This window comes from Homo sapiens, chromosome 19, assembly GCF_000001405.40.
Source record: "Homo sapiens chromosome 19, GRCh38.p14 Primary Assembly".
Taxonomy (NCBI): Eukaryota; Metazoa; Chordata; class Mammalia; order Primates; family Hominidae; genus Homo; species Homo sapiens.
Genome location: NC_000019.10, coordinates 15,787,661 through 15,804,177, shown reverse-complemented (window position 1 = coordinate 15,804,177; position 16,517 = coordinate 15,787,661). Strand labels below are relative to the sequence as shown.

Sequence of the window (16,517 nt, the reverse complement as noted above, 5' to 3'; positions counted from 1 at the left end):
GATTTCAATCAAAACTTGGAAACTCAGAGAAGCTCCCTTTGCAGAATATGTGCTACAGTTCATGCATCTTGTTACCCACCAGGCATGTTGTATCATTAGCGCCTCACAAGGTGGGAGTGAGAGCAGATATAATCACAGTCCCTCTGTTTGATAGAGGGGGAAACTGAGGCACAAAACATGCATGGCTCATCAGAGACCAACCAACTTGGAAGAGCCAAGCTTCAATGTCAGTCTTTTCTGATTCCAAGTCTTCTCCATTCAACACTTCAAGCATTGCCTTTTTACAGTGGGATCCTAATTTCTGGAGGACTGGTCCTTCTTCAAATGAAACATCTCAGCATCTTTAGAGTCTTTTGTGGCACAGGAAGACAGTTGCAACCCTCTGCAAACCCTGAAGCGTGCATCCTTGGAACACAGATGGAATATTTCTACAAATTCAACAGTCCTTCATGATTTTAAAATAAGTTTTAGTCTTGTAGAAATTCTTGAGTAACTTCTATGCACTGAGCTAAGATGCTCCCCTCTCCTGACAACAGAGCCATCTGGGCGGGAACATAAGTCAGGTCTTTTCTCTTTTCTTTTCTTTTTTTTCTTTTCTTTTCCCTTCCCTTCACCTTCCTTTCTCCTTCGCCTCTCCTTCCCTCCCCCTTCCCTCCCCCTTCCCTTCTCCTTCCCTCCCCCTTCCCTCCCCCTTCTCCCTCCCTCCCCCTTTCCTTTCCCTCCTCTTTCCCTTCCCTTCTCCTTCCCTCCCCCTTCCCTTCCCTTCCATTCCTTTCTTTTCTCCTTTCCTTTCCGTTCCCTTCCCTCCCCTCCCTTCCCTTCCCTTCCCTTCTTTTCTCTCTTTTTTTTCTTTTTTTCTTTTCTTTTCTTTATAAAAGACCCCACTGGCCTCTGATCCTGCTGGTATCCAAATGGATAGAGACCCTGGAAAGAGGCTGGATATCCACTATGAGTTGGGCACTGGATGTCTTATGCTAACTTATTGTGATCCTTTAAGCTGCCAGCTGCATGTGGTCATGAGGTTTGATCATCTCGTACATTATCACATCCAGCATCAGCATGGCACTTGGACGATATATCAATTCTTAACAAATATTCCTAAAGTGGACTAATTTAATCCTACAACACTGAACAATCCAGAATGTTGACTTATGTATTTCCTGTGAGAAAGAAACCTCATTACCCCCCAGGGCAGTGGGTAAGTGTGTGTGGGGAGTCGTGTTTGAGTGAGAAGGACCTGGGTTGAAATCCTGCCTCCTAATTTCCACCAATTTGATTGACATCTTATAGACATTCCATGTCAGTGTAAACAAAAGGATGTTTAGAGCAGTGACATTTATGATTGAAAAAGCACTTTGGGAGGCTGAGGCAGGTGGATCACTTGAGGTCAGGAGTTCAAGACCAGCCTGGCCACCATAGTGAAACCCTGTTTCTACTAAAAATACAAAAGTTAGCCAGGCGTGGTGGCGTGTGCCTGTAATCCCAGCTACTCCGGAGGCTGAGGCCTGAGAATTGCTTGAGCCTAGGAGGTGTACATTGTATTATATCTCCTCTACTAAGAACCTTCCAATGACTCCGTCTCACTTACAGGGAAATCCGAAGTTTTGTTTTTTTTTTTTTTGAGACGGAGTCTCGCTCTGTTGCCCAGGCTGGAGTGCAGTGGCGGGATCTCGGCTCACTGCAAGCTCCGCCTCCCGGGTTCACGCCATTCTCCTGCCTCAGCCTCCCAAGTAGCTGGGACTACAGGCGCCCGCCACTACGCCCGGCTAATTTTTTGTATTTTTAGTAGAGACGGGGTTTCACCGTTTTAGCCAGGATGGTCTCGATCTCCTGACCTCGTGATCCGCCCGCCTCGGCCTCCCAAAGTGCTGGGACTACAGAAATCCGAAGTTTTTACAGTGCCAACAAAGCCCTACACATCTGGGCCCTGCTGCTGCTTCTCTGACCTCACCTCCCTTTTCTCCTTCCCTCAGTCACTCTGCTCTAGCCTCCCCACTGTCCCTCAAACACACCAAATATGCTCCTACCTCAGGACCTTTGCACATGCTGTGCCCACTACCAGGAATTCCCTTCTCCCCACAAGATGTCCACATGGCTTCTCTCTCACTGCCTAAAGGTTTCTGCTTGAATATCAGAAAGTCATTAGATATACCCATTAATAAAGGACAGGCTTGGTGGGTTTTTTGTTGTCATTTGTTTTTGTTTTGTTTCGTTTTTTTTGAGACAGGGTCTTGCTCTGTTGCCCAGGCTGGAGTGCAGTGGTGCAATCATGGCTCACTGCAACCTCAAGCAATTCTCCCACCTCAGCTTCTTGAGAATCTAGGACCACAGGCATGTGCCACCACAGCTGGCTAATTTTTGAAATTTTTTGTAGAGACAGGGTTTCACCATGTTGCCAAGGTTGGTCTTGAAATCCCCAGCTCAAGCAGTCTGCCTGCCTTGACCTCCAAAAGTGCTGGGATTACAGGCATGAGCCACCACGCCCAACCAATAAAGGACAGGCGTAAGCCACCATACCTGGGCTAAGATTAGTTTAATAATTATTTGTGGCCTTCTTTGTCTCCAGACTTGTGCTAATTTTGGGGATATAGACAAGCGTTTGTTTCTGTTCCCAGCTTTTGAGGCATTTGCATGTTACCTGGTGCAGTGATACACAGAGAAATATCAGGGCTGTGACCAAGATACGGATTGTATTAGTCAGGGCTCTTCATAGAAACAGAACCAATAAGATATAGACAGATAGATAGATGATAAATAGGTAACGAATAGGTAGATAGATAAGGTAGATGGATATATATATATTATAAGGGCCGGGTGCAGTGGCTCACGCCTGTAATCCCAGCACTTTGGGAGGCCAAAGTGGGTGGATCACTTGAGGTCAGGAGTTTCAGACCAGTCTGGCCAACATGGCGAAACCCCATCTCCACTTAAAATACAAAAATTAGCGGGGCGTGGTGGCGGGTGCCTGTAATCCCAGCTGCTCAGGAGGCTGAGGCAGGAGAATCACTTGAACCGGGGAGATGGAGGTTGCAGTGAGCCAAGAGTATGCCACTGCACTGCAGCCTGGGTGACAGAGTGAGACTCCATCTAAAAAAAAAATTATATATATATGTATATATATGGTATTGGCTCACATAATTATGGAGGCTGAAAAGTCTCATGATATGCCATGTGCAAGGTGAGAACCAGGAAAGACAGTGTTGACTCGGCCAATAGCTGAAAACGAATGGTGTAGAGTCCAACCTGGGTCTGAAGGCCTGAGAACCAGGAGCAGTAAGAGCAAGAAGATTGCCAGGCAAAGGGAATGTGAGTCCAACCTCCTCTGCTGTTTTCTTCTATTCGGACCCTCCACAGATTAGAGGATGCCCTCTCACACTGGGAAGGCCCACCTGTTTTACTCAGTTCACCAATCCAAATGTTCATCTCTTCCAGAAACACCTTCATAAACATACCCAGAAATAATATCCAATCAGATCTCTGAGCATCCCTTTGACCCAGTCAAGGTGACACATAAAACGAACCATCCCATGAGCAAAGTTCTAAGGGAGCCAAGAGGGGTAAGACGCAGCTGGAGCTCTATTAGCCCAGTCTCTGCATTCCCATGCTTCTCTGCCAATGGTGATTTTGCTCCCCTTCCCAGGGCACATTTGGAAATTTCTAGAGACAATTTTTGGTCTTTGAAACGAGGCAGAGGATATGTATGTTACAGCACCTAGTATGTCAAAGTCAGTGACGCTGCTCAACATCCTACAATGCACAGAACAGCCCCCACCACTGTCCCCAAATGTCAGCCGGGCGCAGAATGACAAACCCTGCTGTATTCACTCAAAAAGCATTTATTGAGCACCTACTGTGTACCAGGCATTTTTCTAGGCACCACTGGGAAGACAGGGTTGAACCAATTAGATAAGACATCCCGATCTCAATGTCTGCCCTAGAAAGAGGAAGACATAAATAAACAAATAATTGCACCAATTAATATATATGGGAACTTGTGATAAAAGCTCTGAGGGACCTAAGTGAGTTGCTATGAGGGCTTGTAATAGGGGTGGTGACCGAGTGTGGAGAAGTCAGGAAAGAGCTTTCTGAGGAGGTGACCCTCAGGAAGACCGAAGGGAGTGTGCGAGCAGGTGGGGGAAGGGTATTACAGGCAAAAGCAAGAGTAGATGCAAGGGGCCAGGCGTGGTGGCTCATGCCTGTAACCCCAGAACTTTGGGAGGCCAAGGTGGGCAGGTCACTTGAGGCCAGGAGTTTGAAACCATCCTGGGCAACATGGCGAAACCCTGTCTGTACTAAAAACACAAAAAAAATTTAGCCAGGCATGGTGGCACGCCTGTAATTCCAGGGAGTCTGACACAGGAGAATTGTTTGAACCTGGGAGGTGAAGGTTGCAGTGAGCTGAGATCATGCCACTGCACTCCAGCATGGGTGACAGAGTGAGATCTTATTTCTCTCTCTCTCTCTCTCTCAAAAAAAAAAAAAGACATTCAATGAACATATAGTAACCTCTATTTGTCATACTTTTAAGGTTTACCTTGTAGACAACATACAATTATATACATAACGTTTCATCAGCATCAGGGATGTATTTGGAGTGGAATTGTGTGTGAGATACTAACACAGAGAAAACACAGATGTGGCTGTGTTTTCACTGAACTTTTGGCACTTAATCCTGTTTTAAATTAATGATGGCTTCCATTTTTTAGTCTTTCGAGGGAAAAAATGCAAGAAAACTGATTATTTCTACCTGCCGCAAGATACTTTGTCAGTTAGCACCAAACCTGGAATCTAGACTCCTCTTGCCAAAAGCCAGTGTCTTCTAATACCCCCAATAATGCAAACCAGCAATGCAAAGAGGAATGGAAGATTTCATGCCCCAATCTCTGAAGAAAAAAAAAAGAGTAGATGCAAGGTTCCTGGGGTCCGGGTGTGCTTGGTTTACTGCCGGGACAGCAGGGAGCCCATTGGGCTATAGGGTCAAAGAATGAATTTGGGGATGAAGTATAGACCTGGCCACGCAGCCCTGATGATCACACTAGAGTCTATACTGTATCCTAAGAGAAACAGAAGGTTTAAGTAGAGGGATGATTTTTCAGAGTTTCCCTTTAGAAAGATCCTTCTGGCTGGATGTGGTGGCTCACACCTGTAATCCCGGCACCTTGGGAGGCCGAGGTGGTAGTATCACCTGAAATCAGGAGTCCGAGACCAGTCTGGCTAACATGGCGAAACCCCGTCTCTACTAAAAATACAAAAAATAGTTGGGTGTGGTGGCATGTGCCTGCAATCCCAGCTACTTGGGAAGCTGAGGCAGAAAAATCGCTTGAACCCGGGAGGCAGAGGCTGCAGTGAGCCGAGATAGCACCACTGCACTCCAGGCTGGGAGACAGAGCTAGATTCCATCTCAAAAAAAAAAAAAAAAAAAAAAAGCTCCTTCTAGCTGCTTGGCAGACAGAAACTGGAGGATTTTGGGGGTGAAACAAGAGGGACAACCTCCATGAGGAGGGGATTGAATTTTTATCCACATGCAAGGAGGTTAGGCCAGCACCGGGGAAGAAAAGAACAAAAGAAGTGAAGGACACAGATCACATCTTTCAAGCTGGCCTTGGTCTCTAGCAATTAGGACTACAACACTGGGCTCCAAGGAACTCAGGGAGCAGGTCCCTGAAGCCTGGGATCTCCTGCCCCTTAATCACCTCTCTGGGCTCTGGTCCTGCCTTGGGGATACCAATCACAGAGGGGACCATTATCAAGGCTTGGCAAACAGTGAGGAATGCAGGAGGTGTGAGACTTCAGAAAGTGAAGGCTGATTAATGGGGGGAGATGAGGACAGGGTCCCGGGGGAGGGGGCTGGCCAAAGCTAGCAGGCAGAGGGGGACTGTTTCCACACCTGGGGCATGGAGAGTTGACACCCCCAGACCTGCTGTGTTCTCACTGAACTTTTGGCACTTAATCCTATTTTAAATTAATGATGGCTTCTATTTTTTAGTCTTTTGAGGGAAAAATGCAAGCGTTTTGTTTTTCCTTTGTGGGGAGATAAGGCAGTCACTTTGAGCACCCAATGTAAGGGGCCATCAAAAAATTCAGCAATCAAGATAAATTACGTTTATGCTTTTTTTTTTTTTTTTTTTTTTTTAGATGGAGTGTCACTCTTGTCGCCCAGGCTGGAGTGCAGTGGCACGATCTTGACTCACTGCAACATCTGTCTCCCCGGTTAAAGCAATTATCCTGCCTCAGCCTCTCGAGTAGCTGGGACCACACACGCACACCACACCCAGCTAATTTTTGTATTTTTAGTAGACACAGGGTTTCACCATGTTGGCCAGGCTGGTGTCGAACTCCTGACTTCAAATGATCCACCTGCCTCGGCTTCCCAAAGTGCTGGGATTACAGGAGTGAGCCACCACACCCGGCCTAATGCAATATTTTAAAAAACCAAAATGAATGCAAAAAAAATCCACGGTGAACAAAATGTCAACATTTTAAATAATGTTTAAAGGAGGTGAGGTGTCTCCCTCACCTCACCCTGACCTGGCCCTCAGGGTCTAGAATATGCCATGTATAAAAACAACACTAAGCCCAACTTCTCCGGTTGTTTCAAATTTACACAATGACTACTACTAAATAAAGTGAAGGAGTAATCACAAAGCTTATTTTAATTTCAGAATGCATGGACATTGGTCAACCAAACTACAGCAAGCTGGCTCGCTTTTCTGATCACCACGGGGAACCACAATGACACATCTTGGATATAACCCAGAAGCCACCTTTCCTGCACTCTTTCAAACTCACACAGTCTGATTTTTACCTGTTTCCCAGCCTATTCCAAGGTATCTTCAGAATCATGATCAGCTAGAAAGCACTAGCTACACCCCAGGACACGTGGGGTATAAACAGGGTATAACATTCTCTTTTCCATGACAACTCGAGGTGATGGGGGTGGAAGTTTAACATTTGGGATCCCTTTACATTTTATAGGGGAGGCAAAGAATGCCCCCCCAGATATTAGTAGTTAAGTGCCCTAGAACTTCTTCTTCTTTTTTTTATTGTTTTTTTGAGACAGAGTCTCGCTCTGTCACCCAGGCTAGAGTGCCATGGCCCAATCTCGGCTCACTGCAACCTTCGCCTCCTGGATTCAAGCAATTCTCCTGCCTCAGCCTCCTGAGTAGCTGGGATTACAGGCATGTGCCACCACGCCCGGGTAATTTTTTGTATTTTTAGTAGAGACGGGGTTTCACTATGTTGGTCAGGCTGGTCTCAAACTCCTGACCTCGTGATCCACCCACCTCAGCCTCCCAAAGTGCTGGGATTATAGGCATGAGCCACTGCACCCGGCCGGAACTTCTAATATAACCCAGGAACCCGGATTTAATGGGTAGTTTTTTTTTTTTGCAAAGCGTTTAATTTAATTTAATTTAATTTTTTGGGACAAGGTCTCACTCTGTCACTCAGGCTGGAGGGCAGTGGCACAATTACTGCTCACTGCAGCCTCAACCTCCTGGGCTCAAGTGATCCTCCCACCTCAGCCTCTTGAGTAGCTGGTACTACAGGCACATGCAGCCATGTCTAGCTAATTTTTTAATTTTTTTGTAGAGATAAGGTTTCACTTTGTTGCCCAGGCTGGTCTTGAACTCCTGGACTCCAGTGATCCTCCTGTCACGGCCTCCCCAAATTTTGGAATTACAGGTGTGAGGCACTGTGCCTGGCCCAATTTAATATTTGAATGTGACACACTCTTTCGTATTAACACGTCTACTAAAAAACACAGAAATACTACAGCCAGTTTGGCCAAACTCATAAGGTGTATCCCTAATTCTCTGACACTGGGTGATTCCTCCTAAACCCATAGAGACAGCATATTTCTAGTTCTGGGCTCACTCCATTGGTGCTAGCTAGAATGTGTCTCTTGTTTTCAATCCAGCTCTTCCTCCCTTTCTGGAACAGACTGACTTCCCCTCTTCACAGGCCCTGAGAAATGTGTACTTCTTATCCCCAGCTCTAATTTAAAGAATAGGTTCAATTCTAGCTTTTCCATGTCAGTGACAAGACCTTTGGCTAATTAACTTAATCTCTTCATAACTTAGCTTCCTCATCTTCAGAATAGAACTTGGCCGGTGTCACGGCTCATGCCTGTAATCCCAGCATTTGGGGAGGCCGAGATGGCAGGATTGCTTGAGGCCAGGAGTTCAAGACTAGCCTGGGCAACATCGTGAGATCCTGTCGCTACAAAAAATACAAAGTTACCCTTGTGGTGGCATGCATCTGCAGTGCTAGCTTCTCTGGAGGCTGAGGTGGGAGAATTGCTTGAGCCCAGAAGTTGACGCTGCACTTAGCCATGATTGGACTACTGCACTCCAGCCTGGGCAACAGAGCAAGACCGTGTATAAAACCAACCAACTAACGAACAAACAAAATGGAGTTAGTAATCCTATCTTCCCTGTGAAGTAAAATAACTCACATGTGTTAAGCACCTAAAGCCTGTCATTAGTCATTGGGGAAATGCAAATCAAAACCCCAATAAGAAACCACTGGGATGTCTACAGTAAAAAAGTCAGGGCTGGGTGTGGTGACTCACGCCTGTGATCCCAGCACTTTGGGAGGCTGAGGTGGGCATAATGCCTGAGGTCAGGAGTTCGAGACCAGCCTGGCCAACATGGTGAAACCCCGTCTCTACTACAAATACAAAAATTAGCCAGGCATGGTGGTGTGTGCCTGTAATCCCAGCTAGTCGGGAGGCTGAGGCAGGAGAATCGCTTGAACCCAGGAGGTGGAGGTTGCAGTGAGCCGAGATTGTGCCAACGCACTCCAACCTGGGTGACAGAACGAGACTCAGTCAAAACAAAAACAAAAACAAAAACAAAAGAACAAGGAGGGAGAAAGAGAGTGACAGAGACAGAGAGGTATAGAAACAGAAAGAGACAGAGAGAAGGGAAAGAGGGAAGTAGGCAGAGAAGAAGGAAGGGGGAGGGAGGGAGGGAGGAAGGATGGAAGGAAGGCAAGGAGGAGGGGGGAGGGAGGGTGGACTGTAGGTCAGAGAAGGAGGGAGGAAAGGAGGGAGGGAGGAAGGAAAGAAGGAAGGAAGGGAGGGAGGGAGGAAAGGAGGGAGGGAGGAAAGGAAAAGAAATAAAGGAGGAAGACTAAAGTGTTCCCATTCGCTACATCTCTTGAGAGAAAGTCAGCCATTTCAGCAGTTCTGTGGAAAGAGTTTGGTGAAGCAAGTCTTCTTCATGGCGACCTTCAGCTCCTTGTTCCTGAGGCTGAAGATGATGGGGCTGAGGAAGGGTGTGAGGACCGTGTAGGTGATGCCCATCAAGGTGTCTCCTTCCGGAGACTGGGGACCTTTGGGCTTCAGGTAAATGACGGAGGCAAAGCCATAGTGCACGACCACCACAGTGAGGTGAGAGGCACAGGTGGAGAAGGCCTTGTTCCGACCTTCAGCAGAAGGGATCTTCAAGATGGCGGCCACGATGAAGGCATAGGAGAGGAGGATGAGGAGAAAACAGCCCAGCAGGGCCGTGATACACACCAAGCCCACGCCTTTGGCCACCACCAGCACATCATCTCCACAGGCCAACTTCAACAGAGGTGGCACGTGGCAGAAGAAATGGTGGATCTCCTTGTGTCCACAGAAGGCGAGGTGGAAAATGGCCGAGGTCACCACCATCCCCATGACCAAGCCACCAGCCCAGGAGCAGCCCACCCGGCAGGTGCAGCCCCGCAGGCTCATGAGCACGTTGTAACGCAGGGGGTGGCAGATGGCCACGTAGCGGTCGTAGCCCATGACAGTGAGCAGGAAGGAGTGGGTGAAGCCGAAGCTGAAGGAGAAGAACATCTGACTGGCACAGGCCAGGAAGGCGATGGAGCGCTGGGTGGACAGCAGGTCGGCCAGCATGCGCGGGATGATGGCCACGGTGTAGAGGATCTCGGTGATGGAGAGGGCACACAGGAAGAGGTACATGGGCATGTGGAGGCTGCGCTCGCTCCAGACAGTGGCCATGATGAGCAGGTTGCCCAGCAGCGTGAACAGGTACATCAGCAGGAACAGCAGGAAGAGCATCAGCTGGAGGTGGGGGAAGGCAGAGAAGCCAACGAGGATGAATTCAGACACGGAGGTGTGGTTTAGCCCCTGCATGGCGGCCACCCCTAGTTGGTGGAGAGAGGAAAGAAGACCCAGTGGTTAGGAGCACAGGGGTGTCTAGTGACTCCCACCTGGGAGGACATCTGAGAGCGCCTTCTTCATCTGTCCAAGCCATGGTTACTCCATGTGCAAAAATATGTTATTTATTTTTAGTTTTAGTTTTTGAGATGGGGTCTCGCTCTGTCACCCAGGCTGGAGTGCAGTGGTGTGATCTCAGCTCACTGCAACCTCTGCCTCCTGGGTTCAAGTGATTCTCCTGCCTCAGCCTCCAGAGTAGCTGGGATTACAGGCATGTGCTACCACGCCAGCTGATTTTTGTATTTTTAGTAGAGATGGGTTTCAGCATGTTGGCCAGGCTGGTCTCGAACTCCTGACCTCAGGTGATCCACCTTCCTCAGCCTTCCAAAGTGTTGGGATTACAGTCTTGAGCCACCACGCCTGGCCAAAAATATGTTAATAATAATGTGCTGAAGTTTAGCCTGGGAATGATGGCTCACACCTGTCATCTCAGCACTTTGGGAGGCGGAGGCAGAGGGGGGTCACCTGAGGCCAGGAGTTTGAGACCACCCTGAGTAACATAGTGAAACTCCATCTCTACAAAATAAAAATTTAAAAAAAAATTAGCCAGGCATGGTGGTGCATGCCTGTGGTCCCAGCTACGTCAGAGGCTGAAGCAGAAGGATCACTTGAGCCCAGGAGCTTGAGACCAGTCTGGGCAAAATAGCAAGACCCCCATGTCTACGAAGTATAAGAAAATGTGCCACACATTGTGGTGCATGTCTGTGGTCCTGGCTAGTTGAGAGGCTGAGGTGGGAGGATCGATTGAGCCTGGGAGGTCAAGGCTGCAGTGAGCTATGACTGAGCCACTGCACTTCAGCCTGGGTGATAGAGCGAGATGCTATCTCATAAAACAAAAACAAAAACAAAAACAAACTGTGTAAAGGTTTAAATAAGATCATGCATCTTACTTGCTTTGCACAAGTCTTGGCCCGTAGTAAGAACCTCACAAATAGTAATACTGATAAAAATAATAATTATTATTCCTATTTTTAAATCTCGGTGGTCTCTATTCAGCCACACCTGGGTTGGATCCCCACTTCAGAGCTAGGGGACCGTGGGTTGGTCCCTTGATTGTTGTGAGCCTTAGTTTTCTCATCCCTAAAAGAAATGGATAATAATCCCAAATTGACAGGGTTGTTATGAGGATTTAATAAGATTATGCTCATAATGTACCTGCCACAGGGCCTGGAATAAACACTTAAGAATTTAAGGTTAAGGGCCGGGCACAGTAGCTCACTCCTGTAATCCCAGCACTTTGGGAGGCCGAGGTGGGTGGATCACTTGAGGTCAGGAGTTCAAAACCAGCCTGGCCAACATGGTGAAACCCCGTCCCTACTAAAAGCACAAAAATTACCTGGGCATGGTGACATGCACCTGTAATCCCAGCTACCTGAGAGGCTGAGGTGGGAGAATTGCTTGAGCCAAGGAGAGAGAGGTTGCAGTGACCTGAGATCACGCCACTGCACTCCAGCCTGGGCGACACAGTGAGACCCTGTCTCAAAAATAAACAAACAAACAAAGAATTTAAGATTGAGGGCCGGCATGGATGGTCAGACTAAAGTTCTCTTAATTTGTAGCAAGTGCTAATAAAAGAAAGACCCAGGTTTTCTGAGCATTCTGAAATAAAATTGGAAATTACTAAGATGAGGACCCTTAAAACTACCTATATATTTAGAACATAAATATCAGGTTGAGTTACGTGATATTGCCACAGTAACATATCACATAATAATCTTTAGAATAAAAGGAAAATTAAAAAATGCGAATAAAAAAATGATAATGAAAAATAGAAATAACAACTAAATGAAATGAATTGTGCCCTAGAACATAAAGAGGGAATTAGCTGACAAACTGGCAAAATTCCAGTAAGATCTGCAGCACTGGTGGGTGAATATGGCTAATTGTAACTTATTGCATATTTTCAAAAAAGCTAAAAGAGAGGATTTTTTTTTTTTTGAGACCAAGTGTCACTCTGTCACCTAGGCTGGAGAATTTAATAATAATTCATGCACCTGTAATCCCAGCACTTTGGGAGGCTGAGACGGGCAGATCATGAAGTTAGGAGATCAAGACCATCCTGGCTAACATGGTGAAAACCCGTTTCTACTAAAAATACAAAAAAATTAGCTGGGCGTGGTGGCGGGGGCCTGTAGTCCCAGCTACTCGGGAGGCTGAGGCAGGAGAATGGCATGAACCCAGGAGGCAGAGCTTGCAGTGAGCCGAGATGGCGCCACTGCACTCCAGCCTGGGCCACAGAGCGAGACTCCGTCTCAAAAAAAAAAAAAAATAATAATAATTCATGCAAACAAAGGGATACACTTTGAACAAAATGGAACAGCTGTCTGTGGTGGGGGCAGGGAAGGGAAGTAGAAGTGAGACATGATGATAAATGGGAATAAATAAAATGAGATCACCCCTGTTGTTCATATCAATGATGATCAAATAAGGATGATAAAATATCACTGAGGAGTTGCGGAGTACATCTGTAGTTTAAGTCCAACAAAAATGTGTGTGTGTGTGTGTGTGTGTGTGTGTGTGTGTATGGTATCTATATAACTATATAGATATCTTTGATTAACTGAAGACTACTGTTTTTAAATTTTATTTGTATTTACTTATTTTTGTTTGTTTGTTTTGAGATGGAGTTTTGCTCTCATTGCCCAGGCTGGAGTGCAGTGGCATGATCTCGGCTCACTGCAACCTCTGCCTCCCGGGTTCAAGTGATTCTCCTGCCTCAGCCTCCCGAGTAGCTCGGATTACAGGTGCCCGCCACCACACCTGGCTAATTTTTGTATTTTTAGTAGAGACAGGGTTTTGCCATGTTGGCCAGGCTGGTCTCGAACTCCTGTCCTCAAGTGATCTGCCTGCCTCGGCCACCTGAATTGTTGGGATTACAGGCGTGAGTCACCATCCCTGGCCTCTATTTGTAATTTTGTATCTTTTAGCCAATTTCTCCCTATCTCTCCCTTCTGCCTACCCTTCCCAGCCTCTAGTATCCTCTGTCCTACTTTTTACTTCTATGAGAAAGCTACTGTTGTGATAGCACGTTTTCGAATACTTACCTGGGACCTGGTTCACCCCAATATTACACTTCCTCCTAGCCCTACCTAGAAGATTGTCACTAACTATCTCTCAGAGCCAAGGTTAGCCCAATGCTTGGAGGACTCAGAATACCACCTGGAAAATGGACAGTTTGGCTCAAGTTAGGAATGATCATTCCACACAGAAAAGTAGCATGTGTGGGCTGGAGGGGACCCAGCCAGCCAAGCCAACAACTGCAGCATAGCCTCAACTCCCTCCTCTTCTTCATCCCTCCTCTCCCTCATCTGTCATCTCTGAGCCTCACTCCCTCCCCCTCTATAGCAGGGACACAACCCCAGCTCTGGCCTCACGCCCTCTCTCTCAGCCCACGGTGCTTACCAATCTCCCCTCCTCTGCCCCATCCCTCTTCTGACAGCCAGAGACAATTCTCTAAGACATATCCAGGCCGTGGAGTCACGCAGACCCATGGTTCAAATCCCAGGTTCTCACTGTATGCTGGGATAACCAGAGACCTGCCCTGGGGGTTCCCTGGGCGACGGGATGCCAAGTGCTTAGCACACAGTTCTCAAGGCTGCCAGCTGACGTTGTCGTGATCATCTCTGTCATCATTGCTGTTTGCTGTCTGCTGAGCTGGTTGCCACTCATCCTTGCCTGCCAGGTGACTCACATTGGCACTGTGACAGTCAGGGACTTCAACCCCATTCCAGATGAACCTTCTTCTGTCACTGTAAATGCCTCCTACCCTCCAGCACTCCCTCCCTTGTGCAGCTCACCTCTTCCTCTCTCCTGGCTACCAACAGGCTCCAAGGTCCCTGCTCCTAAATGCACAAATGTTACTAAAAATTACAGAAAGGGGCCATGCCCAGTGGCTCACACCTATAATCCCAGCACTTTTGGAGGCTGAGGCAGGAGGATCACTTGAGGCCAGGAGTTTGAGACCAGCCTGGGCAACATAGTGAGATCCCATCTTTACCAAAAAAATTGTTTTTAAATTAGCCAGGCGTGGTGATGTGCACCTGTAGTTCCAGCTACTCAGGAGGCTGAGGTGAGAGGATTGCTTGAGTACAGGAATTCGAGGCTGCAGTGAGCCATGTTCATGCCACTACATTCCAGCCTGGGTGACAGAGCGAGACCCTGTCTCAAAAAAAAAAAAAGAAAAGAAAAGAAAAAAAAGAAAAGAGAAATACAGAAAGGGCTCTCTCAGCTCTCTGGCACATTCTGTCCCACTCTTTCCCAGAACAGCACCTTAGCAGAAATCTCCAAGGGGGCTCTCCAACTCCCCTGCACAAGTCTAGACCTAGGGAAGGACAAAGGTCAGGGTCCTTCTCCCAGCTGAGGGCTCCCAGGCAGAACCCCAGACTGGTGCACACGCAGAACCTCAGGCTTCTGCACACACAGAACTCCAGAATGATGCACACGCAGAACCCTAGGCTGGTGCACACACAGAATCCCAGGCTGGTGCAAATGCAGAATCCCAGGCTGGCACACACGCAGGCTCCCAGACCCTGCTCCAGTGCCCTCTCTCCTCAAAGGAGACACAATTCAACTCATCCAGCTCTTTCTGCTTATGCACTTTATCATACAACTGAACACACAGATGCAAAGGCAGACAGATCTGAGCAATGCCACACAGTCGCACTGGCTCTGAAATGCACACTGGCGGTGACACCCCCAGCCAGAACCAGAGACACCACCACTCATTCTGCACACACCTATGGAGCCCTTGCCAAATGCCTGGTGCTCATCTGGGGCTGGAATAAACTGGAGACACACAGCCATTCCATGTGTGAGGGCACTGTGTGTGTTGAATCATGTCCCTCCAAAACTCATGTTCATTCAGAACCTCAGAATGTGACCTTTGGACACAGGGAGGGGAACAACACACACTGGGGCCTGTTGGGGTAGGGCAGGGGTGGGGAGAGCCTCAGAAAAATAGCTAATGTATGCCAGGCTTAATACCTAGGTGATAGGTTGATAGGTGCAGCAAAGCACCATGGCACACATTTGCCTGTGTGACAAACCTGCACATCCTGAGCATGTACCCTGAAACCAAACTAAACTAAACTAAAATAAAATAATGTGACCTTAGGTGGCAATAGAGTCTTTTACAGATGTCATTAAGGTAAGGATCCAAAAATGAGATCAGCTGGGTGTGGTGGCTCACACCTATAATCCCAGCACTGTGGGAGACCAAGGTGGGTGGGGCGGGGGATTGCTTGAATCCAGGAGTTCGAGACCAGCCTGAGCAACATGGCAAAACCCCATCTCTACAAAAATTAGCTGGGCGTGGTGCTGTGTGCCTGCGCTAACAGCTGCTTAGGAGGCCAAGTGGGAGGATCAGTTGAGCCTGGGAGGTCGAGGCTGCAGTGAGCTGTGATCGTGCCACTGCACTCCAGCCTGGGTGACAGAGCGAGACCCTGTCCAAAAAATAATAATAATAAAAATAAAAATGAGATTATTCTGAATTAGGTTGTTTACTAAATCCAACAACTGGTGCCCCTCAAAGACGAGGGGAGGACACACAGAGGAAAAGGTCGCGTGAAGAGAGAGGCAGAGATTGGAGCGATGCAGCTACAAATCAATCAATGCCTAGAGCACCCAGAAGCTGGAAGAGGCAAGGCATCTTCTCCCTTAGAATCTTCAGAGGGAGAGTAGCTTTGTAGACGTCTTGCTTTAAGACGTCTAGCCTCCAGAACCCTGCAAGAATGCATTTATCTTGTTTTAAGCCACAAGGTTTGCGGCACTTTGAAATGGCAGCTACAATAATCTCATACAAGCGCACACAACTGCACACACACACACACAGTGAAGGCAGGAGTACACATGGGTGATGCCTAAGTACACCCACATGCATGGTGACACACTCAATGTCACCCGCTTGGCTCAGAACCACCCTCCTCCACAACTTAGTATAGAGACCACTCCCCACCCCAGCATGGACCCTGGTGGCCACGACTGCTGTGGAAAGGGGGCTGCTCTAGGCAGTAGGTGGACTCTATGGGGGACTTGGAGTGAGGACAGGCTGATCCAGCCTGGAGTCAGGTGGCTGAGGCTATAGAACCCCTACTCCATATCATCCCATGCTCCCTCTCGTTTCTTTTCCCAAACCTGTGCCTCCCTCTGTTCCAATTTTCCCTGCTTCTCTTGCCTTCTCCCTTCCACCTCCCAGTACTCTTGCCACTTCATCCTGGAAAGCAGGTTTGGAAATAGACGACTCCACTTACCTTCATCAGAGACCTTTAGGGACGCCTTGCAGCCAGGCCTGTAATGGCCCTGGGCA

At 47.8% G+C, this 16,517-nt stretch overlaps 1 protein-coding gene across 1 annotated transcript; it reads right to left on the bottom strand.

The window, feature by feature from the left end:
* Positions 1-3,820: 3,820 nt before the first annotated feature.
* Positions 3,821-16,517, bottom strand: OR10H5 (olfactory receptor family 10 subfamily H member 5). The gene is made up of 2 exons (NM_001004466.2): positions 16,462-16,517; positions 3,821-10,140 (listed from the first exon to the last, which is right to left on the bottom strand). Exon 2 carries the CDS (start codon positions 10,127-10,129, stop codon positions 9,182-9,184), a length of 948 nt encoding a protein of 315 aa, NP_001004466.1. The 5' UTR covers positions 10,130-10,140; positions 16,462-16,517; the 3' UTR covers positions 3,821-9,181.